This window comes from Homo sapiens, chromosome 16 (assembly GCF_000001405.40).
Source record: "Homo sapiens chromosome 16, GRCh38.p14 Primary Assembly".
Taxonomy (NCBI): Eukaryota; Metazoa; Chordata; class Mammalia; order Primates; family Hominidae; genus Homo; species Homo sapiens.
This window is the reverse complement of record NC_000016.10, coordinates 61,917,028-61,941,753: the sequence shown is the minus strand read 5'-3', so window position 1 is coordinate 61,941,753 and position 24,726 is coordinate 61,917,028. Positions and strand designations below refer to the sequence as shown.

At 37.7% G+C, this 24,726-nt stretch overlaps 1 protein-coding gene and 1 long non-coding RNA gene across 6 annotated transcripts in view, besides 1 other annotated feature; one reads left to right on the top strand and one right to left on the bottom strand.

Moving 5' to 3' along the window:
- The window catches only part of CDH8 (cadherin 8), a 389,189-nt gene that overhangs the window by 94,685 nt on the left and 269,778 nt on the right, over nt 1-24,726 (top strand). The window lies entirely within an intron of this gene.
- On the bottom strand, nt 918-23,433 carry CDH8-AS1 (CDH8 antisense RNA 1). Its single transcript, NR_186387.1, has 4 exons — nt 23,355-23,433; nt 7,531-7,642; nt 3,774-3,840; nt 918-1,512 (listed from the first exon to the last, which is right to left on the bottom strand). It is a non-coding gene; the product is annotated as a CDH8 antisense RNA 1 (long non-coding RNA).
- Nucleotides 7,636-8,835: an enhancer, noted in NCBI's record as "MED14-independent group 3 enhancer chr16:61966823-61968022 (GRCh37/hg19 assembly coordinates)". NCBI's record gives its function as "activates an origin of replication core promoter dependent on BRD2, BRD4, P300/CBP and CDK7 cofactors, and independent of MED14, by STARR-seq in HCT116 cells {active_cell/tissue: HCT116}" and the evidence as "EXISTENCE:reporter gene assay evidence [ECO:0000049][PMID:35650434]".

The following is a 24,726-nucleotide window of genomic DNA, read 5'->3' as shown; positions in this document are numbered from 1 at the left end:
AACAAAATAGGAGGCCAGATGTGGTGGCTCATGTCTGTAATCCCAGCAATTTGTGAGGGCAAGGGGGGTGGATCACCTGAGGTTAGGAATTCAAGACCAGCCTGATCAACACAGTGAAACCCTGTCTCTACTAAAAGTTATCCGGGTTTGGTGGCACATGCCCATAATCCCAGCCACTTGGGAGGCTGAGGCAGGAGAATTGCTTGAACTTGGGAGACGGAGGTTGCAGTGAGCGGAGACTGTGCCATTGCACTCCAGCCTGGGCAACAAGAGTGAAGAGTGAAACTCTGTTTCAAACAAAACAAAACAAAAAGAACAGGAGAGTGATATATTCTGCAAATCAAGAAAAAGAGAGTATTTCAAGGGAGAATATGACGCTTTGTTTTACTTATTGTTTTTCATTATTATAATTCAAATCATTTTGGGTCAAAGAAGATCTATACGAAGATACTCTTTGAAGAAATCTTAACTTTCCAATAAAAGAAGAGGAAAAAAGGTATTAGCCACATTTCTAGGTCATATCTCCGGAAATTTCACCATACAACTGAAACTGTCTTTTAAGTCTGCACATGAATAAAATGAGAACAAAAGATGAATGCAATTTGCCTTACCTGTTTATTTTTCTTGTGGATTGTGACAATTGTTGGAAAGCAATCTTGCATTCTCACGAAATTACTGTATATTTTTCTGTGTCAAGTTCAACTTGATTGAGTTCTATGTGCATTCAAAATGCTACAAGATTAATATGCTCATTTCTAATTCCCACATCTTCCTACATTTTCTTATTATTAGCATTGCTGCTATTACTGTTTTTATGATTATCATTACGCAAGTGTTTCTCTTGTCCTGAGATCTGAGACATCTTAAAAGTTGAGTCTGGGATGCTTGAAAGATAGACAAAGAGAAGGAGGCATCTCTCCAGGTGTTCCGTATTGCATTTTATTTCCAAGCCGCTGCTGTTGAGTCAGCCAGACATGATTACATCAGATCCAGGTAGACTTTAGGGATTCCAGCAGCCTCTCTTCCAAGTCTCTCTTTAAGATAAAATAGTCCGGCTGGGCGCAGTGGCTCACGCCTGTAATCCCAGAACTTTGGGAGGCCGAGGAGGGCCGATCACGAGGTCAAGAGATTGGGACCGTCCTGGCCAACATGGTGAAATCCTGTCTGTACTAAAAATACAAAAATTAGCTGGGCATGGTGGCGCACGCCTGTAGTAGTCCCAGCTACGCAGGAGGCTGAGGTAGGAGAACTGCTTGAACCTGGGAGGTGGAGGTTGCAGTGAGCCGAGATCGCGCCACTGCACTCCAGCCTGGACGACAGAGCGAGGCTCCGTCTCAAAAAAAAAAAAAAAAAAAGATCAAGTAGTTCATTACCATAGCTCTCCCTAGCAAAGCTGTAAACTGTGGCCTTGATAAGGAGCACACATATTCAGAAGCCAATTCTAGCCAGTCGTGTTATCTTTAATGTGCAAATAAATATTAGATGGGGCAAGGAGCAGAGTATAATTCGATCCTGTGGTGACTCACGTTGATGTGCAGCATTCGACGTAAGAAAGATGTCAAAGGAGATAAGAGGTAGAAGTTTATTTTTAATAAATTCTTTTTATGTAAAAAAAAATCTATGACTAACCTAGAAATATAATTCAAAACTGAATTGTATTTTCTCTTTGATATTGATTATTTTTGATGTGGTAAAATGGGTGAATTAATAAGGAGATATGCTAAGAAGGGAATGCACCTCTTTTGTTTGGGTTTGGAAGAGATGTGTTGGAAGTGGTTTGATGTTTTGTGAGCCAGGTATTTCTAGCTAAAATCCTGTCCCCTTCACTTGGAGTCTATGTGCTCTAGTATGGGTTTCTTACATTCTTTGAGTCTCAGCTTCTTATCTGTGCCATGTGACAAATAATGCTTATGTCCCTGGAAATGGCAGATAGTCCGTTAGTGACAGCTATTTACAATATTGTTTCACATCTTTCTACAAATTGCTAAACCTTTACCCTTTTCTCTAACTTTATGTGTAGCAGGAGAGGCAGATCTATTTGCATAGCCCATCATTTTCAGATTATTATAGGGCTTGGTATTTAGCTTTTTGGTATTATAGTCAATTACAAATGATTTATTAGCTACTAGGAAGGTGCAGTATAAATAATAAACTTGAAGGTTATAGACAAATTATGTTTTTAATTGGAATGCTAATAAATTATAATGTCATGTTATGAAATAGGTAGCTAGGTTCTTCAAACATCGCAGTAAAAGTCACCTGGTGAATATTTACCCAATGATGGCATAAATTAAACTTAGCTGTCAAAGAAAAATCTGCAAAGGAGGAAAAATAATGCTTCCCCATCTTCAAGCTTTGTTTATTTAAATTTAGAACGATGTCTGCGGGTATTAATCTTGATAATCTGGAAGACTTAGAAATCATTATTTTTCCGGATTAGGTAACAATGAAGTTTTTTCCAATTCATGTTTTGTTTGTAAATATTTTCTGAATTGAAATGTGAAACTTAATTCTAATTAGAAACAAGTTGAATTGTTGTGATAAATAGAAGTATTTGTTATCCGTCTTCATCTTTCTGTATCTAACACCAATATCTATATTGATACCCAATTTTAAAGAGCATTAAGTATTTCTCAAATAACATCACCTCTAGGAATTAAGAAACTCAGAATCTTATGAAGAGATGAGTGCCTTATTCTCTATGAATGAGCCCTTGTTGATTTCCTCATCTTCCTAGCCTTTCCTTTTTCTGAGTGACGGACGTGTTTATACTGTACAGCTACACGTAATAGGATAATGATGAGCATTTAATAAATGCTTACTAAATAGCTGGCACAGTGCTGAACATTTTACATATATCATCTCATTTAGTATCATCCCATTTATGGAGAACTGTGTTAATTCACAGGAACATTGAGCAAATTGCTTAAGTTCACACAGTGTGTACACACTGAAGTCAGGTCAAGGACCCAGGCAGCCTACTGCATGTTTAACCTCAATTCAGTACACCCTCTTTTCCATGAAAATGCCTTGGGAATAAAAATCCCTTGAACATGTTGATCTTTGGACAAATTTGAGGGATTTTTCTCAGCTATGACTAACAACCAGAGGTTACCAGGCAGATGCACTTTATTTATTTTTTTATTTCTAGCTTAATTATTAGCAGTACCTTACATTTTAATGTTACTTGCCATATGTGTTATTTATTAACACTAACATTTAGCAAGTATATTTGCAATTCTTAGACATGTGGACAAGGCGTAGGGCCTCTTCTGTGTTATTGCAGGGGAAAACAAAAAATAGCTGTATATATTTCCCCTTCAGGCAAAGCGAGATTCCCACAGGAGTGAGGATGGTGGGGCTTCTCATTAATATCTAAATGCAAGGAGTGAATACTCCTAATTTTATGCTATTCTTCTCCTAGAATGAACTATTTCAGTTCTGAAATGAGAGTAAGAACATGGAAATCATGTATATTTTAAAAGAAATGCCATTTGGGATGACTGGGTAATTAATTCATTCCTCATCAACTTGTCTACAGCCACTCATGTCTTACACAGATCTGTGTTTCATTAGGAATCAGTGAGATACACACTCAATGAAATCATTTTATATATGATTTGGAGAATTTAAAAAAATCTCTATTACTTTTATCCTGATGACTCAACATGAAGTGTTTTAGTTTTCTGGGCATCAGTGAAATACTGAATTATACCATTTGTCTCTTTTAAAGCAATTTAATTCCATTACATTTAATAATATTTAGTACTTACAGAGTATCATCTCCTTTCAAATGGAAACATTAACTGCTGTAATTAATCCTCCTGGCACTTCTCCAGTCTAAAAATATAAATAGAAATAAAGAATGCAATTAGGAACAGGTGTGCCTTGATAAAAGAAGGAAACACAATGAGATGTTTAGCCCCTGACTCAGGACTCCTGGGTTCAGTTACTGCCCAGAGAAAGTTTTTTCCTTAAGGAGGCAAGCAGTTCACTTCATAGACATTGAAGTTTATACCTCAGGTTTGATGACTTGGGAGAATATATCCAAGATCCTTTATAGATATGTGATACTAGCTCTATTGTAACTAAAAGTTGGGAAGTAGATGACATTTTAGTTAAATCTCCACATGAGTTGCTATGATTGTTTTATTCTGTGAAAATTTTGCCTATAAAGTGTCTGCTGTTTACTGCCCTCTTTGGCTTCCACATAGTTCCAGAGACTGAGAAAAGTGAGGAGGAAGGAACAGATAGTAAACAGAAAGTTTATTTCTTTGATTGCTGATGTCCGGCATTAAGACTTGTAATCTCTCAATTGAATTGTATCTCAAATTGTCAGTTTGTCAGTTTGATTTTTGCTATGACAGAAACCTGCGTCTTTCCTAGTGATTGTCCTTTGGTGGTTTCCTTCTGTTCTAGGGAACAAATCTAAGATCTTTCCTATGGTAGAAATCATGCTATAGTAAGCAACTCTCTCTTGTTCTTTATCCCCAAGTCTTTGAGAACTATAGCTCTAGAACCATGTTTTAAAGTTTCAAATGTATAAGTATACTAATTAAAGATTTATATTTCACAGAGAAGACTCACTAACTACACTTGAGTGCTGCTCCACAGAAAAGTAGAATAACAGCGGTTTTATTCATTTATTTGTTTGTTTGTTTATTTCAATCCTGAAAAAACCCTGGGAGGTTAAAATCACCCAGGAGGCTTTAAAAAAATACTAATTTCTGAATTCCACTGCAATCTACTATTTTAGGATACAGGGAAGCAATGCCTAGCCATTGCTATTTTACAAAATCTCCCAGAGATACGTGATTTTATTTGCATCTAAATGTTAAAACTACTTTAAAATAAGAATATGATAAAAGATAATATTGCTTAGAAGTTAATAATAAACTATAGAATTAGACAGTTCTGAGGTTCTTAATGTGTTCCAAAATTATTTTTTAAATTCAGTGTTTAATTAGAGAAACATAACAGGGCATTGGCAATGATCAGTGGGACCCCTGGTGGCAGTCCTCAGTTTTGTCTCCTCTGTACTGATCAGTTAAGTTCTGGACCCCCATACTTGCATATCCCATTCAGCAAGACAGAAGACTTCAGGTTTTTTTGGATCTAACTTTCTTAGATATCAGAAGGATGATGATCCTTGAATACTTGAACATGCCTCTTTGGGAGGCGGGTGGCATGTTGCCATCTCCAAGTGACTTCTCACATTGCTCTTCGTAGCTACATATATCCTTTCCTTGATAGAGTTATGAGCAATCTTGTCTTTTTAATCTTGTTAGAAAACTAATGATTTTTGGCAATCCTTATCTACTGCCCCGAGTTGTGAGAATGAAACACAGGAACATAGCATGGTTGTTTGGCAGTATTAAATATTCAATAAATGTTGGTGGTGTTTTTATTTTTATTTTCAGCACTATATAATTGTTTACCTGAATGCCCCATAACTCATGCTTCTCCTCTCATTATTCATTATTTCTCAGATGCTATTTTTTTCTCTTACCAGGGAGAAATGGAAAGTAAGAGCTGTAAATATTCAATGCAAATATTTATTAATACAATGTAAGTATATCCCTTGAGTATATACAATGACAGATATGCTTTAAATTCTTTTAATGTATTTAGCTTATTGAATTCTTACATTTATAAGGTAAGTATTACTATTGCCCCCATTTTAGAGATAAAAACACTGATTTACTGACAAGTTACTTAACTTTTTAAAGGACACAGCTAGTATGTGGTGGGTCTCTGGGATTTGAACTCAGTAAATTCAGTTCCAGAGCTTGTGCTGTAAACCTTCACAATGCCTACTCTCTTACTTTCTTAAGATCTAGCTCCCAGCATTATGACTATGTGAATTTATCATGGACAGCCCCCGTCACCAAAAAATAATGAACAGCTTTCCACACTGACTCCTAAACAGGCTAAAAATGTACCCATGATGTTATACTGCATGCATTGTTTATTTTCTCTTTTTTCAAGGTGCACAGAGTCTAATAGATGAGCACACAAGTGTCTTACATACTTAGGTGCTTTTAATTCACAGTAAAATGTCTGGCATACACTAGATGCTCCAAAAATAATAAGCATAAAGCCAAAGAGAAAAATGAATAGTGAACTCACAGGAAATAGACTTAGAAACAAAATTTTATAGCTATTTAATAAATGGGAGGTTTCTTCCTTCCTTTCCCATAAAAGGTATGTAAGTGTCAGCTCCTGATCAGGATAGGGATGAAGATGAGGACATTCAAATGTATAGTTCCATTCTCAATACTATATTATTAAAGTCCAGAAACAGTTGTAGATATTTATTTTCAGCTATATGCTATTGCTACTCATCATTTCTAAATTCCTCCACTCAGGATTTGCCTACATAAAGTTGTATTTGAGCTTAATGGAAATTTAATGAAAATATATTGGTTAATTCATTTCATATAAAATAATATGATGACTTCATTTTTCTAGTTATACATCATACATAAACATCCTAAAGCTTACTGATGCATTCAAAATAGGATAACTCCATCCCAGCTTGACATTTATCAGGCTCGTTTAAAGCAGATAGACTGTAACTGTTCTACTTTTGCCTCTTCTAAAGATAACTTGCAGGACGCTGGAGTATTATCATCAATAATGTCATCTAATGTCCAATCCATGTGTAATCATTTCCTCCTCTCTTATATAAAGGCCTCATTCACCACGGCTTTGCAAAAGATGCAAAAAATGATGGGATAGTTAATATTAGTGTTAAAATTTCAAAATATTTCCAGCAGGCAACCCTCTCAACACAGTTTTCTATCTGGTCTGCTTCTTTTGGACTTGGCATGAGATGTAACTTTGGAGTCATGTCCTGCAGTTGTAATTATTGCACTGGAAGCTGAAGCTCACATTTTTATCCCTGAAAAGCTTCGGGTGACAATCAGACCTAAATTCTCTGGCGATTTTAGTGCTTGTGGTCATGGAATAATTCTACAAGCGTGTCTTGAATACTAACAACACACTAAGCATTGTGCCCAGTGCCAGAGATACAAAGGTGAATGGGAAATGGTTAGGAGTTTAAATCCATTTAGGGGCAGGGAAAGAGTCATTGTACTCATAATGATATAATAAGTTAAGCTTCCATTAATTAATTGCTTCATACCAGACACCTACCTCGCAGAGTTCTGTTTTGACTTTATATTTTCCCATCTAAAATACTGTAATAAAATAAGTAAATTATTTAAGGTTAAGTGGCATATATACCATAGGAAATGTGGGTGACATACAACCCATGTTCTTAAATGCATAGGATACAATATCGTATACTGTCCCTCCACAATCTTTACATAAGCTTTCCATTTGTTTCTGTTCCTCAATTTACACTAACTAGCATAGAATTACAACTTACCCAAGGCCTCTCAGAGGCCTTTTGTTGTTATAAGCTATGCTTATTAGGAGGGAAGGCTTGAAGGTGGGCGTTTGTTCAGATTTCCAAGCACGTTTTATATTTTTCCTCTAAAGCTTCTGAAACATATTGCTACTTACCTTTCCCAAGCAGCCTCGTGTGCCTGGAGTTCTCAGCAGCCGGGACCCTGGTGTTCTAGAGGTTTAGATAGGATGTCTGGCTTCCACTGAATCAGGGAACCACTCAGTGCTTCTGTAAGGTGTGGGATGAGGCAAATTCATTTATTCAGGTATTATCTTCTTAGTTTGCACCATATGCCGGCACCATCCAAACACATTCCTGCTATTGATCCCGTCTGAATATAGCAGATGATTTCTGACCTGACATAACCAATATTATTACTACAATCGCAGGTTTTGATGTGTTAGTTCCTCTCCTTAGTCAGAGAAAAATAAATCCATGTATTTTTAAAATTGTTCTCGCTATACTACTTAAAATTAACATATGTATCTCTCTTTGGGAAACATTGTAAAAGCTAATGTAAAATGTACTAGACCATATGAGACCTTAAATTAGTAGGAGAAAAATCTTCTGGAGCTCTGTCTCTTTTGCCACATGTGAAGGTTGCAAAAAACAAACAAAAAAAATCACCACCAGCACTAAAAGAAAAAAACAGGCACATAGATTAATTAGTATCCTCATTAATAATTTATCCCAATAAATATGTCTTCAATCTCACTGTCTCTCCATTTGGGCTGCTGCTACCCTAAGCCACATTTCTATCCTTCCTCGTCTGATTTATTTCACTACATATTTAAAAAGATATATGTAATTTAAAAAATCTTTTCTAAGTTCAAAATCACATTATTTCAGTCATTTTTCCACACTGGAATGTGAATGATTTTCAAAAATACATGTCTGGACATGTTACTCTCCTGCTCTAAATCATTTGTTAGTTTCTCCAAGACCTTGTGGGTAAAAGTTCAATATCCCTAATATATCTATGCCCGCAGCATAATATACGATGCCCACAAACAGCCTACTGCCTGCAAATACAGCCTCTCCTCTTGTCACTCTCCTCTGTTGCCTGACCATACTGGACTTACTCTAATTTCTGAAACACTTCGAATAATATTGATTCTCTTCGTTTGATGAACAATGAGGTTAACTGGAAAGACAAAGAGCTTTGGACTGAACCTAGATTTAAATTTGGCTGTACAGTCTCTCTTTACTTTTTCATATATTTAAAATAGAGATGAGAAGGTCTCACTCTCAGTGTTATTAGGAGTAAGAAAGAAGACAACAGCCTCCTTGATCAATATTACTTCCTTTTAATAAGGGCGGTTATCCCTCATTTATACTGACCAAAGAATGGATTTCTGCATTGCTTCTCAAAGTGTGTCCAACGGCTTCCTGGATCACAACCTCAATATCACCTGGAAGCTTCATAGACATTAAAAACCTCAGGTCCCATCCTGGGTCTGCTGAATCAAAATATGTATTTTCACAAGATTCCCAGGAGGTGCATGCAGGTCCACATTAAAGTTTAGAGTACTAGGCTAAAGGTTGAGATCTTTTTTCCCTGCAACTGGTTATTTTTTATTTTAAAGTTACTGTGTTTTTTCCTGTGAAATTCAAATCAAGTTCTAGGAGCTGATAGAAGACAGGAAACAACTCTGACGTATTCACTCTTATATCCACAGGGTTTAGAATGGGTCATGAAACAACTGCTTTTTAAAATAATAAATGAGAAGCGGGGCCCAGAAAATAAGTAATGATACAACTTTCACCACTCTTAAACTATTGTTTTACTGTATGCCTGAGAGAGTTCTGGGTCACTATACGGGAGTGGTACAATATTTAAGGACACTATATATATTAAAAATCACATTACTCCAGATTAACTTTTACACGGAGCATAAATATGCTCTTGTTTGGAGCATATATTTGGTGAAACAAATATATACACTCTTAACACACCTTTAGAGTACATCTATTCAAAATCTTTGAATTACATTTTTGTTTTAGTAATGCTTCATCTTTTGTTTTAGCAATATCTCTAATAGATCCCAGAGTGCTCTCTTTTAAATTAATAATATGTTATGGTCATGGAAATATTCTGTGCTTTTTCTTTTCTTTTCTTTTTTTTTTTTTTTGAGACGGAGTTTTGCTCTGTGGCCCAGGCCTGGAGTGCAGTGGCGCCTTCTCGGCTCACTGCAAGCTCCGCCTCCCGGGTTCACGCCATTCTCCTGCCTCAGCTTCCCGAGTAGCTGGGACTACAGGCGCCCACCACCACGCCCGGCTAATTTTTTGTATTTTTAGTACAGACAGGGTTTCACCGTGTTAGCCAGGATGGTCTCGATCTCCTGACCTCGTGATCCGCCCGCCTCGGCCTCCCAAAGTGCTGGGATTACAGGGGTGAGCCATAGCGCCCAGCCTGTGCTTTTTCATTATATTCTATCACATTTCTCTTCTAAGCCAGTTGTACGTTAGATCTGTGTATATGTGCATGAGCTCCCTCGAACATGTTTGTGTTATGTTTTCAGCAGAAATCCTAGGACCACACCTTTAGTATTATAGATGTTTTAAGGGTACGTCTTATAACTGTGGGTAGCATTTTTGTCTAACATTTTGCTTAACATTTACAATTAATGTTACTTTTATGTAACATTTACATTAAAATGGGAGAAATCCCTCACAATCTTTCTGAGGGGCCCAAATGACATTGGTGGCATAGTTACTGATCATGGAAAGTGGGGGTTTCTAATATCCAGGAAAAGTGGCTCAGCAGTGTGACAAGAGCAACATACTGCTTATATTTCATTCAGTCAGAATGCCCTGAAACAGGTGATTCCTAATGAATGTTTTTTTTAGAAAAGTCCTTATTAGGCTGAGTGCAATGGCTCATGCCTGTAATCACAGTGCTTTGGGAAACCGAGGTGGAAGGATCACTTGAAGCCAGGAGTTTGAGACCAGCCTGAGCAACATAGTGAGATTCCTGTCTCTACGAAAATAATAATTATTTTTTAAAAATTAGCTGTGCATGGTTGTGTGCACTCGTGGCCTCAGCTACTCGGAAGGCTGAGGTGGGAGGATAGATTGAACCCAGGAGTTCGAGATGACAGTGGAGTGATCACGCCACTGCACTCTGGCCTGGGCGACAAAGTGAAACCCTGTTCTGAAACAAAACAAAACAAAACAAAACAAAAGGTCCTCATGATTTCAACTTTTTCGTTTTAAGTGATATATTGTTACTGTACGTTTATATCTCACAATTTCGAAATGGTGTAATCAAATACACAGAAAATGCTGCAGTAAGTACTGTCTTTGACATGACTATTCAGTAACTTGTTTAATTTGATAATGTGGCTAAATGAGCATTTAGCTAGTCAAACCCAATTTGGAAGCAAGTTTGACTTTTTTGAAAGCTTGCATTTTATCTCTTGGGCTATTCAAGCTACACATTGAAGAATAACACGAGGAATTTCGCTGGGGGTGACATTTATGGCTTTTTGTTTTGTTGCAGACAAATATCTAGAGACTACTTTTCTTAACTAGACAAAATTGTGGTTAGAAAATCCTTAATGGTCCAAGGAGAAATAAATGATATAGTACAAACTCTTACTTTAGGCATTTTAAATCTGGAAATTATTTTACCAGGACTGAAAAAGAGTTTATGGCTTATTTTTATGAAATAAAGGGTCCACATAGTTCTTAACACATATTCTAAGCCCAAAGCAAGTGTCTCCTAAGGTTTGTGAATGATGAATTCAGAATTCAAAAGGTCAATGCAGGGTTGTAAACCTACAGTCCTTTTGGCATAGAAGAAATAAGCTACTTTCAAATACTTTTCAAGGGTGCACTGACAAATAGGCCATCTAGTTGTAGTGTAAGCAAAGGTCAGTGACTTAATGTGCTAAATTCAAATCATTCTTATCCTGTTCTTAAGTTGGGGTGCATCCTAGCAACAGTTCATTAATTTGCATCTAAAGATTATATGCACTTAAACATAATAAATTTGAATTTCTCATTAAAAAATGCCTGCGTATACATAGGGGTGTGTGTGTGTGTGTGTGTGTGTGTGTGTGTGTGTTTTCTAACTTTAGTTAATTTAAACAAGAAAATCCTGGGCAATCACTCTATTAATAAAATTTTTACCTTTACTGTTGACAGCTCTTTTTACTTTAAATGTTTCTCTTACTCTTGGCACTGGATAATACAAATATAAGTAAGTAGTTGTTTTTCAGCTCTCAGTTATAATCACTACTGTGATTACAAACTGATTAACAATCAACCTTCTGTTTAAATGCCATCTCTTACATATATTTGTTATGGAACAGAGTCATAGAAGAACAAACTCTGCGTATGTTAAACTGACTTATGACTATACTTTATTTAATATTGGCTTTTGGCTGAGTCATGTAATTGACATGTGTTTTGAATATATCAATTTTTTTGTTTTGTTTTGTTTAAGAGACTAGGTTCTTGCTGTGTCACCCAGGCTGGAGTGCAGTGGCTTGATCATAGCTCACTGCAGCCTCTAACTCCTGGGCTCAAGCAATCCTCCTGCCTCAGCTACCCAAGTGGCTGGAACTACAGGCATTTGCCACCACGTGTGGCTAAAATTTTTAATTTTTTTTGTGGAGATGGGGTCAGCTTATGTTGCCCAGGCTGGTCTCCAACTCCTGACCTCAAGATATACTGCCATCTTGGCTTCCCAAAGTGGCGGATTGCAGATGGGACCCAGTGCACCCAGTCTTGTATCAATTTGTTGATTGATTTATTGATTCCCAACCTGTTAAAAAATAAGGTACAATAAGTCCATTTGTGGATTTGTTGGAAATCACTGCTGGTAAGCTCAGTCAGTATAATAGGTCTCTTCATAAGAATCTCGAATCCATGTAGGCGAACAGCCAACCCTTTCTGAGATAGTTGAGAATGAAAACACCTAGCCCAAACCTTTTGTAGTCAGATTTTTGTTTTGGTCACATGGTTAAGAGAAAGAGCTCTGGATTCAGGATGACTGTGTTGATACCAAAGCTACTAGATATGTAATTTCATCCATTCCGTACAGAATAGGAAACCAAGGTTCAAGATGCTTATACATAGAAAATACATAACACAGGAGTTTACAACAGGTAAAAACCTAAAAACAGGCCAGGCGCTGTGGCTCACGCCTGTAATCCCAGCACTTTGGGAGGCTGAAGCGGGCAGATCATGAGGTCAGGAGATCCAGACCATCCTGGCTAACAAGGTGAAACCTCGTCTCTACTAAAAATACAAAAAAATTAGCTGGGCATGGTGGCGGGCACCTGTAGTCCCAGCTACTCGGGAGGCTGAGTCAGGAGAATGGCGTGAACCCGGGAGGCAGAGTTTGCCGTGAGCCGAGATCATGCCACTGCACTCCAGCCTGGGCAACTGAACGAGACTCCATCTCAAATCAAAACAAAACCTAAAAACAACTCTATAAGCCCTATTAAAGAACAGTCTAATGTATGTCACTTGACAGACACTTCTGCTTTTATGTAGATGTCCCTTTTCTACAATGTTCAGATGCCATTTTAGGCCCAAATGTGTAGGCCTCTTAGAATACAATGTAGACAGACAAAGGATATTTTGATGAGACGGCTTATACAACAGCACCTATAAAGAGTCCTTATATCACCCATTTTCATAGTGTGTCTAAAATAAAGTGTGATTTCCATTTGCTCATTTAAAATAATGCTAAACCTCTACTATTTATGGTTAGTGGGAGCATTAGTACAGTGGCCACTGTTAGAATCAAGAGGTTACAACACTCAGTGGCTAGGGGTGCAGTCCTTGTCTCCAGGTTTAGAGTTGGAGGTGAGATAGGCAGCAACTGAGGAGGTATAGTGCAGGGACATGATAGATGCAGTTACCCAGGACAGTCAAGAGCCATAGATGGCACAAGCTTTCTTATCTCATGTCTTAGAGCTGACAAGGTTTCTTCATGAAAGAGCAAAACTGGCATAGTAAATGTAGCTAATATGCAACATTATGTAATAGAATTCCTTTAACTTTGGTTTTGACAGGGCCAAAAATTTGACTCTCAGATTCACAGTATTCATCGTGAAGTGTGAAAGTTGATGAGTAGTACAAATCAAAGTACCTAAAAGATAAAATAAACTGATTCACATCAAGAAATTTGGTTACTGTCTTATTGTTGGGACTACTTGTTTTGCCCTAAGTATTTTCTGTTAGTGGTACAGTAGGTGCTGTAATGAGCAATGTCCTTAAAACCAGCCATGTAATACCACAGTGAGGTATTTCATAGGACTTTTAATTTCTAGCATTCCTTAATGTAGGTCACAAAAGTGCAACTATTGCATGCAAAATGCAATTCAGTGGAACTAACTTTACCGAAGGGAAGGACTGGTTATACAAATAATATTGCAATGGAGCTCTCATGTGTTCGTATGTAGTGTAGGGATAGGTATTAGTGTATCCACAGCAATGATTTTCAAATATTTTAACTAGCCTACTCTTCTTGTTAAACAATATCTTCAACAAATATATTTGAAATGGATACATTGAGGCTTCAGTATCATGCGGTAGCCATGTTGGCCACTGGGCCCCTCATGCCATGTCTACTGAGGCATCACAACAGATCCTGCCCCTGGCACAGAGTTTGACGATGCCTGGGCCATTAGGTGCCACCTGATGGGGTGCCTGACGGGGTGCCACCTGACCCCAACATTACTCATGATTTGAATAACACAGAAAGCCTAGTTTTGAGTCATGGAACTAGTGAATAATGTGACTTTTATGTGGAAATATTAAGTAATTATTAACCTTTTGATATTTGTCTAGGAGGCATATATCTAACTAAAATTATAATTGCAGTTTTAGCATTATTTCAAATAGAATTCTAGAATTAGTTTACAAATATTTATACTTATAAATATACATATATAATATCTATGATTTAACATTAAAAATATGTACAGTGTGTGTGTGTTTAGTGTAAGACCTAAGGAAGGAGAAATAAAATAATGTTTAGCAAATCAAGATCTGTATCTACTATACTTATATCTACACCCATGTACCTACTATTTCCAGTTAACAGGCATACTTCTAGTTAATGTAAACCCCATACTGACTCCATAAAATAGTATTATCCCTGTAGCAATATAGAAACTGAAGCTAAGAGAAGTAAAATGATTTGTCTGAAGTTACCTGATATTTAAATCGCAAAGCTGGGATTGGGGTTGAGGACTGAATAACTTCAAAACCCATATTCTTTCTACTGTACAAGGATATTGAATTACATGACAAGTGAATCAAGGCAAAATGAAAAAAGGAGAGAAATGAATATGAATGATCTCCAAGGCTAACTGGTGGAGCACTCAGATAACAGGCGATGACTCATGCAATGCCTTCTAATGTGTCTGTTGTTTTTTACTCTTTATCCTTGAAATTGTCATGAAAGGTATGAATGGCAGAGTTCAATGGCAGTAATTAGCCACTTCAAATAAAAAGTACATAATATCTTAAATGAGACCCTTTGTATCCATTTTTCCTCCCAAACCTTGCCATTAGCTCAGCACACCCTAGATGCCAGTCTCCAGCGTGAGTCTACATAAAATTGCCGTTACTATTAAAGAGACTCATGTAGACTCACAAAAGAAATAATGGAATCTATTGAATCAAAATTATGAATCCTTTAACAGTGCCTCCTGTGACTGAGCACACTGCATTCTGCCTGTCTCTGTTGCACAGACAACAATTGCTTAAATGCTGGGTTGTTTGTGGGCATATGCTCCATCTGTCAGGTGTCACAGAACCCTAAGGATATAAAAAAGTCCTTCTACCACCTAATGGTTTTCATCTGTTGGTGAATGCAGGAGCTGACCCTTTAGAAAAATAGCTAACAAGGACACAGATCAGGGTGTTAATTTGAAGGTGTTACAAAGACAGGAAGAAAAACTGTCTACAAATAAATCAGAAGACTTTGGAAAGGAATGTGAAGTATTGGAGATTAATGGGCTGCTGTCAGGCATACTTGGGTTCAAATATCTGTTTTCTTATTTTTTTGTCTTGTGATTTAAATTATCTGCCAAAGGATCAAACCTCAATGAATGTTTATTCTATTTCATTCTTCCCATATTTGGAACATAGATTTTATTTTCCCACTTGTAAGGTAAATGTATACACACACACACACACACACACACACACACACACACACACCCCTTCTGAGTCCCAAATCAACATTTTATGATTCTGCTTCTTATTAGTTTGTGTGGCTTGGAGCAGGTTACTTATCTACTCTGAATCTCAGATTTCTCATTGATCAAATGAGAAAAAAGAAACAACCTTGTGAAGGTATAGTAAGGATGAAGTAATGTATGTAAAGCAATTTGAACAGTATATGGTATATAGTAGATTCTCAATATACGTTTATTGCTTTCTTCTTTCTCCATCTTTTCCTCTTTTCTCTGCTACTTTCTGACCTGATCCTGGTTGGAGTCACCTTTGAAATAATAATGTTAGAGACTCTGTTTTGCTTTGTTGTGTCCTGCTAAAAAAATACTTCAGAAGTCAAAACATTTATGGAGTAAGTGGATATTTACTATGAGTCTTGAATTTAACATTTTATGACATACATTTCCTCAAAGGAGTAGTATATTGTGCTCTTGCAGATGAGTGACCCTACTTTAAACTCCCCTTGAAATTCATGTTGCTTGATGCTTTGAAATGAGTGTGGAGTGATTCTTCTGTAATTACACATGATGCATTAATTATTTCCTAATGAGGCCTAATGGAGAAAAATAGAAATAAAACAAATTGTAATAGCACACTCCTTTAGCTTCTCTAAAGTCATCAAAGTCACATCTCTAACAGTAAAAATAATGTTTCTCCTCCTTCTGATAGCATCAATTTTGGTGAAAGGTGAGCCTTGTGCTTTTGAGCTACTCAATATTTTCTGTAATAATATAGTATTTTATTGAGATTAATTCTTAACTGGGGTAAGGAGAAACAATGAGTATCTTGATTGCCATTAGCTTCTCAGTGTTCTATTAAAACAACCACAACAAGAAAAACAAAATCTTGTTTGCTCTTCTTATTTTATTTTGTCTTGTAATTTAACCAGCGTGGCCATGTCTGATTGGCTTTTGACAGTGTTGCCACCCTGTGGTCTCACCTGCTTTAATTGGACAATGGCAGTTTTCAATTAGTGTAAGCACAGCTTCTTGGACTGCCTCAGCAATTTTTCTCACACATATATTGTAATTATGTGTGTACCTCAATGTGTGAGACTATAAACATATGCTATATGATTGAATAGGAGTGCTGTCAACACTTTATTTTAGGAGCGTATTAATTATGACTGAATAATAATCTGGATGCTAATACAGAGTAACACCCTCTACCTGGTTGATATTTACATTACCAACTGCATCTCATTCTCAGAACGACGAATTTCAAAGTACGGAACAATTAGCAACTCTATGGAAATCCTACATTAAGAGTGTCTTACAAATAATCCTCCTCAGGACAATTAACAGCTCTTTATTTAAACCGTTTTTATTTATTGATTTATTCTGCCCAAACAGGAGGAGAGGCCAAAAATAGAAGGTTGAATTTTAGAATTGCAGTAACTAAAGATGACTACGTGGATAAGAAGGTTTTTAGTTTAAGTGTTTCTTTTAAAAAAAAAAACAGAAACTAATATTCATTTCTTCTGATTATATTGTTCCATCAATCACCAAGATCCTGTATATTCATGACTGCAATTTTTGAGTATGATGCTCTTTAACCTTCACACGAGAACACACTGATGAAGTCTAGCAAGCTTATTATTTTCAACAACTTTCAGTAGTGAATGTAGAGGTCAGAGGTGGGGAAGGAATTTTGTTATTAAATATCCCATGTACCTGTGTATCTGGGTGAGCAGGTAACTTTGGCCTGATATTTAACTCTGTAAGAAGAATGGGAATCTGCTATGGCCTCTAACAAGATGATGCGTGAGAACCTATAGGCTGTGCACACAGTAGAAGTATTATAAATAATTGTTAAAGGGTTGTGTATATTTCAACATAATCAAGTGTTTTAGTATTCAGAAGTGAATGTTCAAAAGTCCCAAAAAATGTTTGGAACCTAAAATTGATTATTCCCTAATGGAAACATTTCGAACCACTTATTAAAAGTGGCATTGCCAAATAATACCATCCCACTTAGAGTATCAGGATTAAAACGACAACAACACAACAACAACCACAGAAAGGAATAACTTTTTGATCTCGAAGTCAGCGGTCCTCATAGTGTGGTGCCTGGATCAACAATATTAGCATCACCCAGGAACTTCTTAGAAATCCAAGTTTTTTTTTGGTCCCATCCCAAAATTGCTAGAGAGGGCCCAGTAATCTGTGTTTTTACTTATGATTCTGATACCCATGATTCTGATGCTTGCAGAAGTTTACCCTGTTCTAAAGAGATATATATGTGTATATATTTAAATATATATAGTAAATATATAATATATTTAAATATATACACAAATATATACATCACATATATAATATATATTTAAATATTATATATTTATCACATATATACATCACATATATTTATATATATTTAAATATATATACATGTGATGTATATATATATATATCCTCTAGCCATCTAGATTGCCAGGGCTTCATAATAACCTGAGACAATATTCACCTGACAATATTCTGGTCAGGGAACTTGAATATGCCAGCTTTATGTTGTATATGTGACATATAGTATTTCACTTATTATTCACAACAGTTCAAAGAGGGAAGAGTTTATTTCCTCATATCTAAAATATTCATTAAATTAAAGCAAAATAAATTTGACTTTCCTGTGGTCATACACTGAAGCTTTCAGACCCATGTTTTGTGATGCCAACCCTATAATTTTTTCCCAAACGTTATGCTGCTACTTGTATTGGTTATTAATGGCAAAAGTTATCAGTGATGACACTGAGGACTAAAAAGATTGAGTGCGGATGTCCATTATCAATTAATTTTAGTTCAGATAATGCTTTTTATACAATAAAATACTTATTGAGTGTCTGACCGACGGTGGAATGAAAGGAGTTGAATTTGGAATGAAGACGCCTGTGTTCTAATCCTCAAGCTATCTAATTTTGTTCATGGCCAGAAGAATTCCCCAGGGTTGTGGGAAAAATCAAATGAAGCAACGTATAAGACAGCATTGATACAGCTTAATATCATATATGAATTATTGGTAGAAACATGACACAATGTATTTTGTTACCGGTCAATAAGCTTTATTATTCATTTCTCAACTGTTAGAAGGTGGGCAATTATATTTTGCCAGACTGCATAAATTATTTGAATGGTTTTAGCATAAGGAAAATACAAATATTTAAGGTGATGGATATCCCAAGTACAGTGAATTATTCTTTACAAATTATATGAATGTATTAAATTATCACATGTACTTTGAACTATATTCATCTATTCTCAATAAGAATAAAGTTTAAAAATACCCCACTCCAAAATTGCATAAATTTGTATGTGATTTATAAATTTTAGAGTTTTAAAAAGACATTTATATCATTGCCTGGATTTTAGATTTTTTCCATGTGAATGAATCTACATTTGACAGCTTCTGGATCAAAAACCTGGACATAGCATTAGTTATAAGCATGACAAAGTGAAAATTGCCTCAACATAGGACAGTAGTGGGAATGGTTATGAAAATTCAAGTCCCTCTCATCAACAGATCTCTAAAAAGAACTTTCATAAAAAAGTTTTTCACATGTACATTATTTATATACAAATTATACATAAAATTGGCATGTCATTATCTAAAAACAATAAAGTGAAAAAAGCAGGATGCAAAATGGTATATAAAATACTGTCTCAGGTGTAGCATAGTTCTCTCTTTATATGTCTTTTTATATAAATAATAAAGAGATGGTTGCCTCTGGGTGGAGTGTTTTATTTTGCTCTGTATGCTTATTTAATTTGCCACATATTCTACAGTAAACGCGAATTCCTCATATAATAAAAATATCTTTAGAAGGTGATTGTTTTTTACACAAAATTTGCATGGAAAATATTTAGGAGTGCATGCTGTTTATTTCCTTAAAGTGCACTACAGTATTGATCCGGCAGACAGCTAATATTTGTTATCAAAGGCCTGGATTCTTTCTGTCCTATGATTAGGAAAATCTGTCCTAAATTATTGGGGCTGTGTGCACACACAACAATAGAAATTGAGACTTCGTTTTATTTTGTGGACAACTTCGGCTGCATATTTCATTTGTCTCTGAAGAGGTGGCTTAGAATCGATGTGACCTCTATTTTTTTTTTTCCCCAGGCTTGCTCTGTCGCCCAGGCTGGAGTGCAGTGGTGCAATCTCTGCTCACTGCAATCTTCGCCTCCTGGGTTCAAGCAATTCTCCTGCCTCAGCCTCCTGAGTAGCTGGGATTACAGGCACATGCCACCGTGCCCGACTAAGTTTTGTATTTTTTAGTAGAGATGGGGTTTCACCATGTTGGCAAGGCTGGTCTTGAACTCCTGACCTCGTGATCTGCCTGCCTCAGCCTCCCAAAGTGCTGGAATTAAAGGCGTGAGCCATGCAGCTGGCCCCCATGACCTCAAAATCCAAAGTGCTTAGATTACCATGCCCTGCTCTTTTGCACTTGTAATGGCTCTTTTGCTGATTAATAATTTTCTAACATCATGTATTTGGGAAATACTGGTTTACTGAGCTATGTAGAACTTCCAGATTTTATTATACAGTATCAAAAAATCATATTCTGTAACATCAGCAATTTCACAGAAAAATATTTAAGTATTTAGAAGTTTCTGTTCGGGGACAGATTTTCTGAAATTCGAGTATTTGCTAGAAAGCTCAGATTTTGATGTGGGTAACTATGGTTGGTTATCTTTAAAAGAATAAGCTAGTTGTATTTATTTTGGATAAAATATCTGCTAAATACAGAAGTCAGAATAGCCATAGTTTGCTTTCAGTTGTTTTTTTCAAGAACATGAGGTTTTACAAATAAAGTGGTTAGTTCAGCTTACAAATGAAACAATCAGGCTACACTCTTTTTTTTTTCTTTTATTATTATTATTATTATTATTATACTTTAAGTTTTAAGGTACATGTGCACATTGTGCAGGTTAGTTACATATGTATACATGTGCCATGCTGGTGCGGTGCACCCACCAACTCGTCATCTAGCATTAGGTATATCTCCCAATGCTATCCCTCCCCCCTCCCCCCACCCCACAACAGTCCCCAGAGTGTGATGTTCCCCTTCCTGTGTCCATGTGTTCTCATTGTTCAATTCCCACCTACGAGTGAGAATATGCGGTGTTTGGTTTTTTGTTCTTGTGATAGTTTACTGAGAATGATGATTTCCAATTTCATCCATGTCCCTACAAAGGACATGAAGTCATCATTTTTTATGGCTGCATAGTATTCCATGGTGTATATGTGCCACATTTTCTTAATCCAGTCTATCATTGTTGGACATTTGGGTTGGTTCCAAGTCTTTGCTATTGTGAATAATGCCGCAATAAACATACGTGTGCATGTGTCTTTATAGCAGCATGATTTATAGTCCTTTGGGTATATACCCAGTAATGGGATGGCTGGGTCAAATGGTATTTCTAGTTCTAGATCCCTGAGGAATCGCCACACTGACTTCCACAATGGTTGAACTAGTTTACAGTCCCACCAACAGTGTAAAAGTGTTCCTATTTCTCCACATCCTCTCCAGCACCTGTTGTTTCCTGACTTTTTAATGATTGCCATTCTAACTGGTGTGAGATGGTATCTCATTGTGGTTTTGATTTGCATTTCTCTGATGGCCAGTGATGATGAGCATTTTTTCATGTGTTTTTTGGCTGCATAAATGTCTTCTTTTGAGAAGTGTCTGTTCATGCCCTTCGCCCACTTTTTGATGGGGTTGTTTGTTTTTTTCTTGTAAATTTGTTTGAGTTCATTGTAGATTCCGGATATTAGCCCTTTGTCAGATGAGTAGGTTGCGAAAATTTTCTCCCATTTTGTAGGTTGCCTGTTCACTCTGATGGTAGTTTCTTTTGCTGTGCAGAAGCTCTTTAGTTTAATTAGATCCCATTTGTCAATTTTGGCTTTTGTTGCCATTGCTTTTGGTGTTTTAGACATGAAGTCCTTGCCCATGCCTATGTCCTGAATGGTAATGCCTAGGTTTTCTTCTAGGGTTTTTATGGTTTTAGGTCTAACATTTAAGTCTTTAATCCATCTTGAATTGATTTTTGTATAAGGTGTAAGGAAGGGATCCAGTTTCAGCTTTCTACATATGGCTAGCCAGTTTTCCCAGCACCATTTATTAAATAGGGAATCCTTTCCCCATTGCTTGTTTGTCTCAGGTTTGTCAAAGATCAGATAGTTGTAGATATGCGGCATTATTTCTGAGGGCTCTGTTCTGTTTCATTGATCTATATCTCTGTTTTGGTACCAGTACCATGCTGTTTTGGTTACTGTAGCCTTGTAGTATAGTTTGAAGTCAGGTAGCGTGAGGCCTCCAGCTTTGTTCTTTTGTTTCTTTGTTCTTTGTTCGTTGGCCTGCCTTGCTAGATTGGGGAAGTTCTCCTGGATAATATCCTGCAGAGTGTTTTCCAACTTGGTTCCATTCTCCCCATCACTTTCAGGTACACCAATCAGATGTAGATTTGGTCTTTTCACATAGTCCCATATTTCTTGGAGGCTTTGCTCATTTCTTTTTATTCTTTTTTCTCTAAACTTCCCTTCTCACTTCATTTCATTCATTTCATCTTCCATTGCTGATACCCTTTCTTCCAGTTGATCTCATCGGCTCCTGAGGCTTCTGCATTCTTCATGTAGTTCTCGAGCCTTGGTTTTCAGCTCCATCAGCTCCTTTAAGCACTTCTCTGTATTGGTTATTCTAGTTATACATTCTCCTAAATTTTTTTCAAAGTTTCCAACTTCTTTGCCTTTGGTTTGAATGTCCTCCCGTAGCTTGGAGTAATTTGATCGTCTGAAGCCTTCTTCTCTCAGCTTGTCAAAGTCATTCTCCGTCCAGCTTTGTTCCGTTGCTGGTGAGGAACTGCGTTCCTTTGGAGGAGGAGAGGCGCTCTGCTTTTTAGAGTTTCCAGTTTTTCTGTTCTGTTTTTTCCCCATCTTTGTGGTTTTATCTACTTTTGGTCTTTGATGATGGTGATGTACAGATGGGTTTTCGGTGTGGATGTCCTTTCTGTTTGTTAGTTTTCCTTCTAACAGACAGGACCCTCAGCTGCAGGTCTGTTGGAATACCCTGCCGTGTGAGGTGTCAGTATGCCCCTGCTGGGGGGTGCCTCCCAGTTAGGCTGCTCGGGGGTCAGGGTCAGGGACCCACTTGAAGAGGCAGTCTGCCGGTTCTCAGATCTCCAGCTGCGTGCTGGGAGAACCACTGCTCTCTTCAAAGCTGTCAGACAGGGACATTTAAGTCTACAGAGGTTACTGCTGTCTTTTTGTTTGTCTGTGCCCTGCCCCCAGAGGTGGAGCCTACAGAGGCAGGCAGGCCTCCTTGAGCTGTGGTGGGCTCCACCCAGTTGGAGCTTCCCGGCTGCTTTGTTTACCTAAGCAAGCCTGGGCAATGGCGGGCGCCCCTCCCCCAGCCTCGCTGCCGCCTTGCAGTTTGATCTCAGACTGCTGTGCTAGCAACCAGGGAGACTCCGTGGGCGTAGGACCCTCCGAGCCAGGTGCCAGATATAATCTCGTGGTGCACCGTTTTTTAAGCCCGTTGGAAAAGCGCAGTATTCGGGTGGGAGTAACCCGATTTTCCAGGTGCCGTCTGTCACCCCTTTCTTTGACTCGGAAAGGGAACTCCCTGACCCCTTGCGCTTCCCAAGTGAGGCAATGCCTCGCCCTGCTTCGGCTCGCGCATGGTGCGCGCACCCACTGACCTGCGCCCACTGTCTGGCACTCCCTAGTGAGATGAACCGGGTACCTCAGATGGAAATGCAGAAATCACCCGTCTTCTGCGTCGCTCACGCTGGGAGCTGTAGACCGGAGCTGTTCCTATTCGGCCATCTTGGCTCCTCCCTGATCACCTCTCCAGGCTACACTCTTGAGTCGACACTCATAGTTCGGTATGTACCAGAAGTGGTTTGTGTGTACTCCCCTTTCATTACAGATTATTACTAATATAAGTACATAGGGCTGAGAGTTAATAAAAATATTTTTTACTGCATAATGAAAGACACTCTTACGTGAAACTGGATTTTTTTTTTTTAATCCTGAGAGTGAGTAATGAAGAGTTCTATGACTCAGTACAGTTGTTGGCACTGTGTTGATTGGTACTAAGGTGGCAGCAGTTGTACCCATCATTACATGTACATCAGTACAAATGTCAGTACGGTAAAAAAAAAAAAAAAAAAAGCAAATAACTTTGACCTCCTGGTTGCCTGGGAAGAGTCTTAGAGATCGCCAGGGGTCTATGGACTATTCTACGAGTTCTGCTACTCTTGACACCCCTGTTTCTTCCAGGGCTTAGGTCTAAAGTCCTCACAGAGGCAGTTCCTGTAGATGTAGGGAAGATCTTGTCACCAACTTTACAGCTTTACTTCTTGCCAGAATTGTTCAGTACCCTGTGCAAAGAAGGTTCACTATGTACTAGGTACCACTTCAGTTCACTGCATCTTGGGCTGTACTTTTACTCCTTGCCTGAGTCTGGTGAGATAGAATGTTCACATACATAACAAGCTACAACATGTGGATTTGTTACTTACAGATAGGCAGCAAGGGACAACAGAAGCCTAGGATTCATGATGAGCCTATCTCCAAGGCTCAGTAATGCTGCACAGGGTGGATGAAGTCTCGTCTGTGCATGCCCCACTTGTACTGCTACCAAGGGACCCCAGAAAACAGTCTGCCTTAGGATTTATAACCTGGGGAACAGGACACACTAGGCTCAAATGTTGAAGGGCATCTTGTTTGTAGGAGGGACAGGAACAGAGCCCAGGCTGTCTGACCAGTCTTTCCATATCTCAGGATGTTGCATTCCCATCACATTCTACAGTTATTCTTGAACAGTACAGGAGAGAAAGCAGGGAGAACTGAATTGGTTCAAGGCCATCCAGAAAATTGTCCTGCACCCTGAAGAAAATGACCAGGTATTTTAAAAAAACCTTACCTATAGATGACTAAAACTCAGCCAGCAGGAACACAGCGGCATTCCATCCTTCCATCCTCTCTCCCCAGTTCTCTCCTCCTACTCCCAACTTGCAAGGACAGACATCATACACACACACACACACACACACACACACACACACACACACACACTAATAGGTAAATAATTTGTGCAATGCTGAACTGCA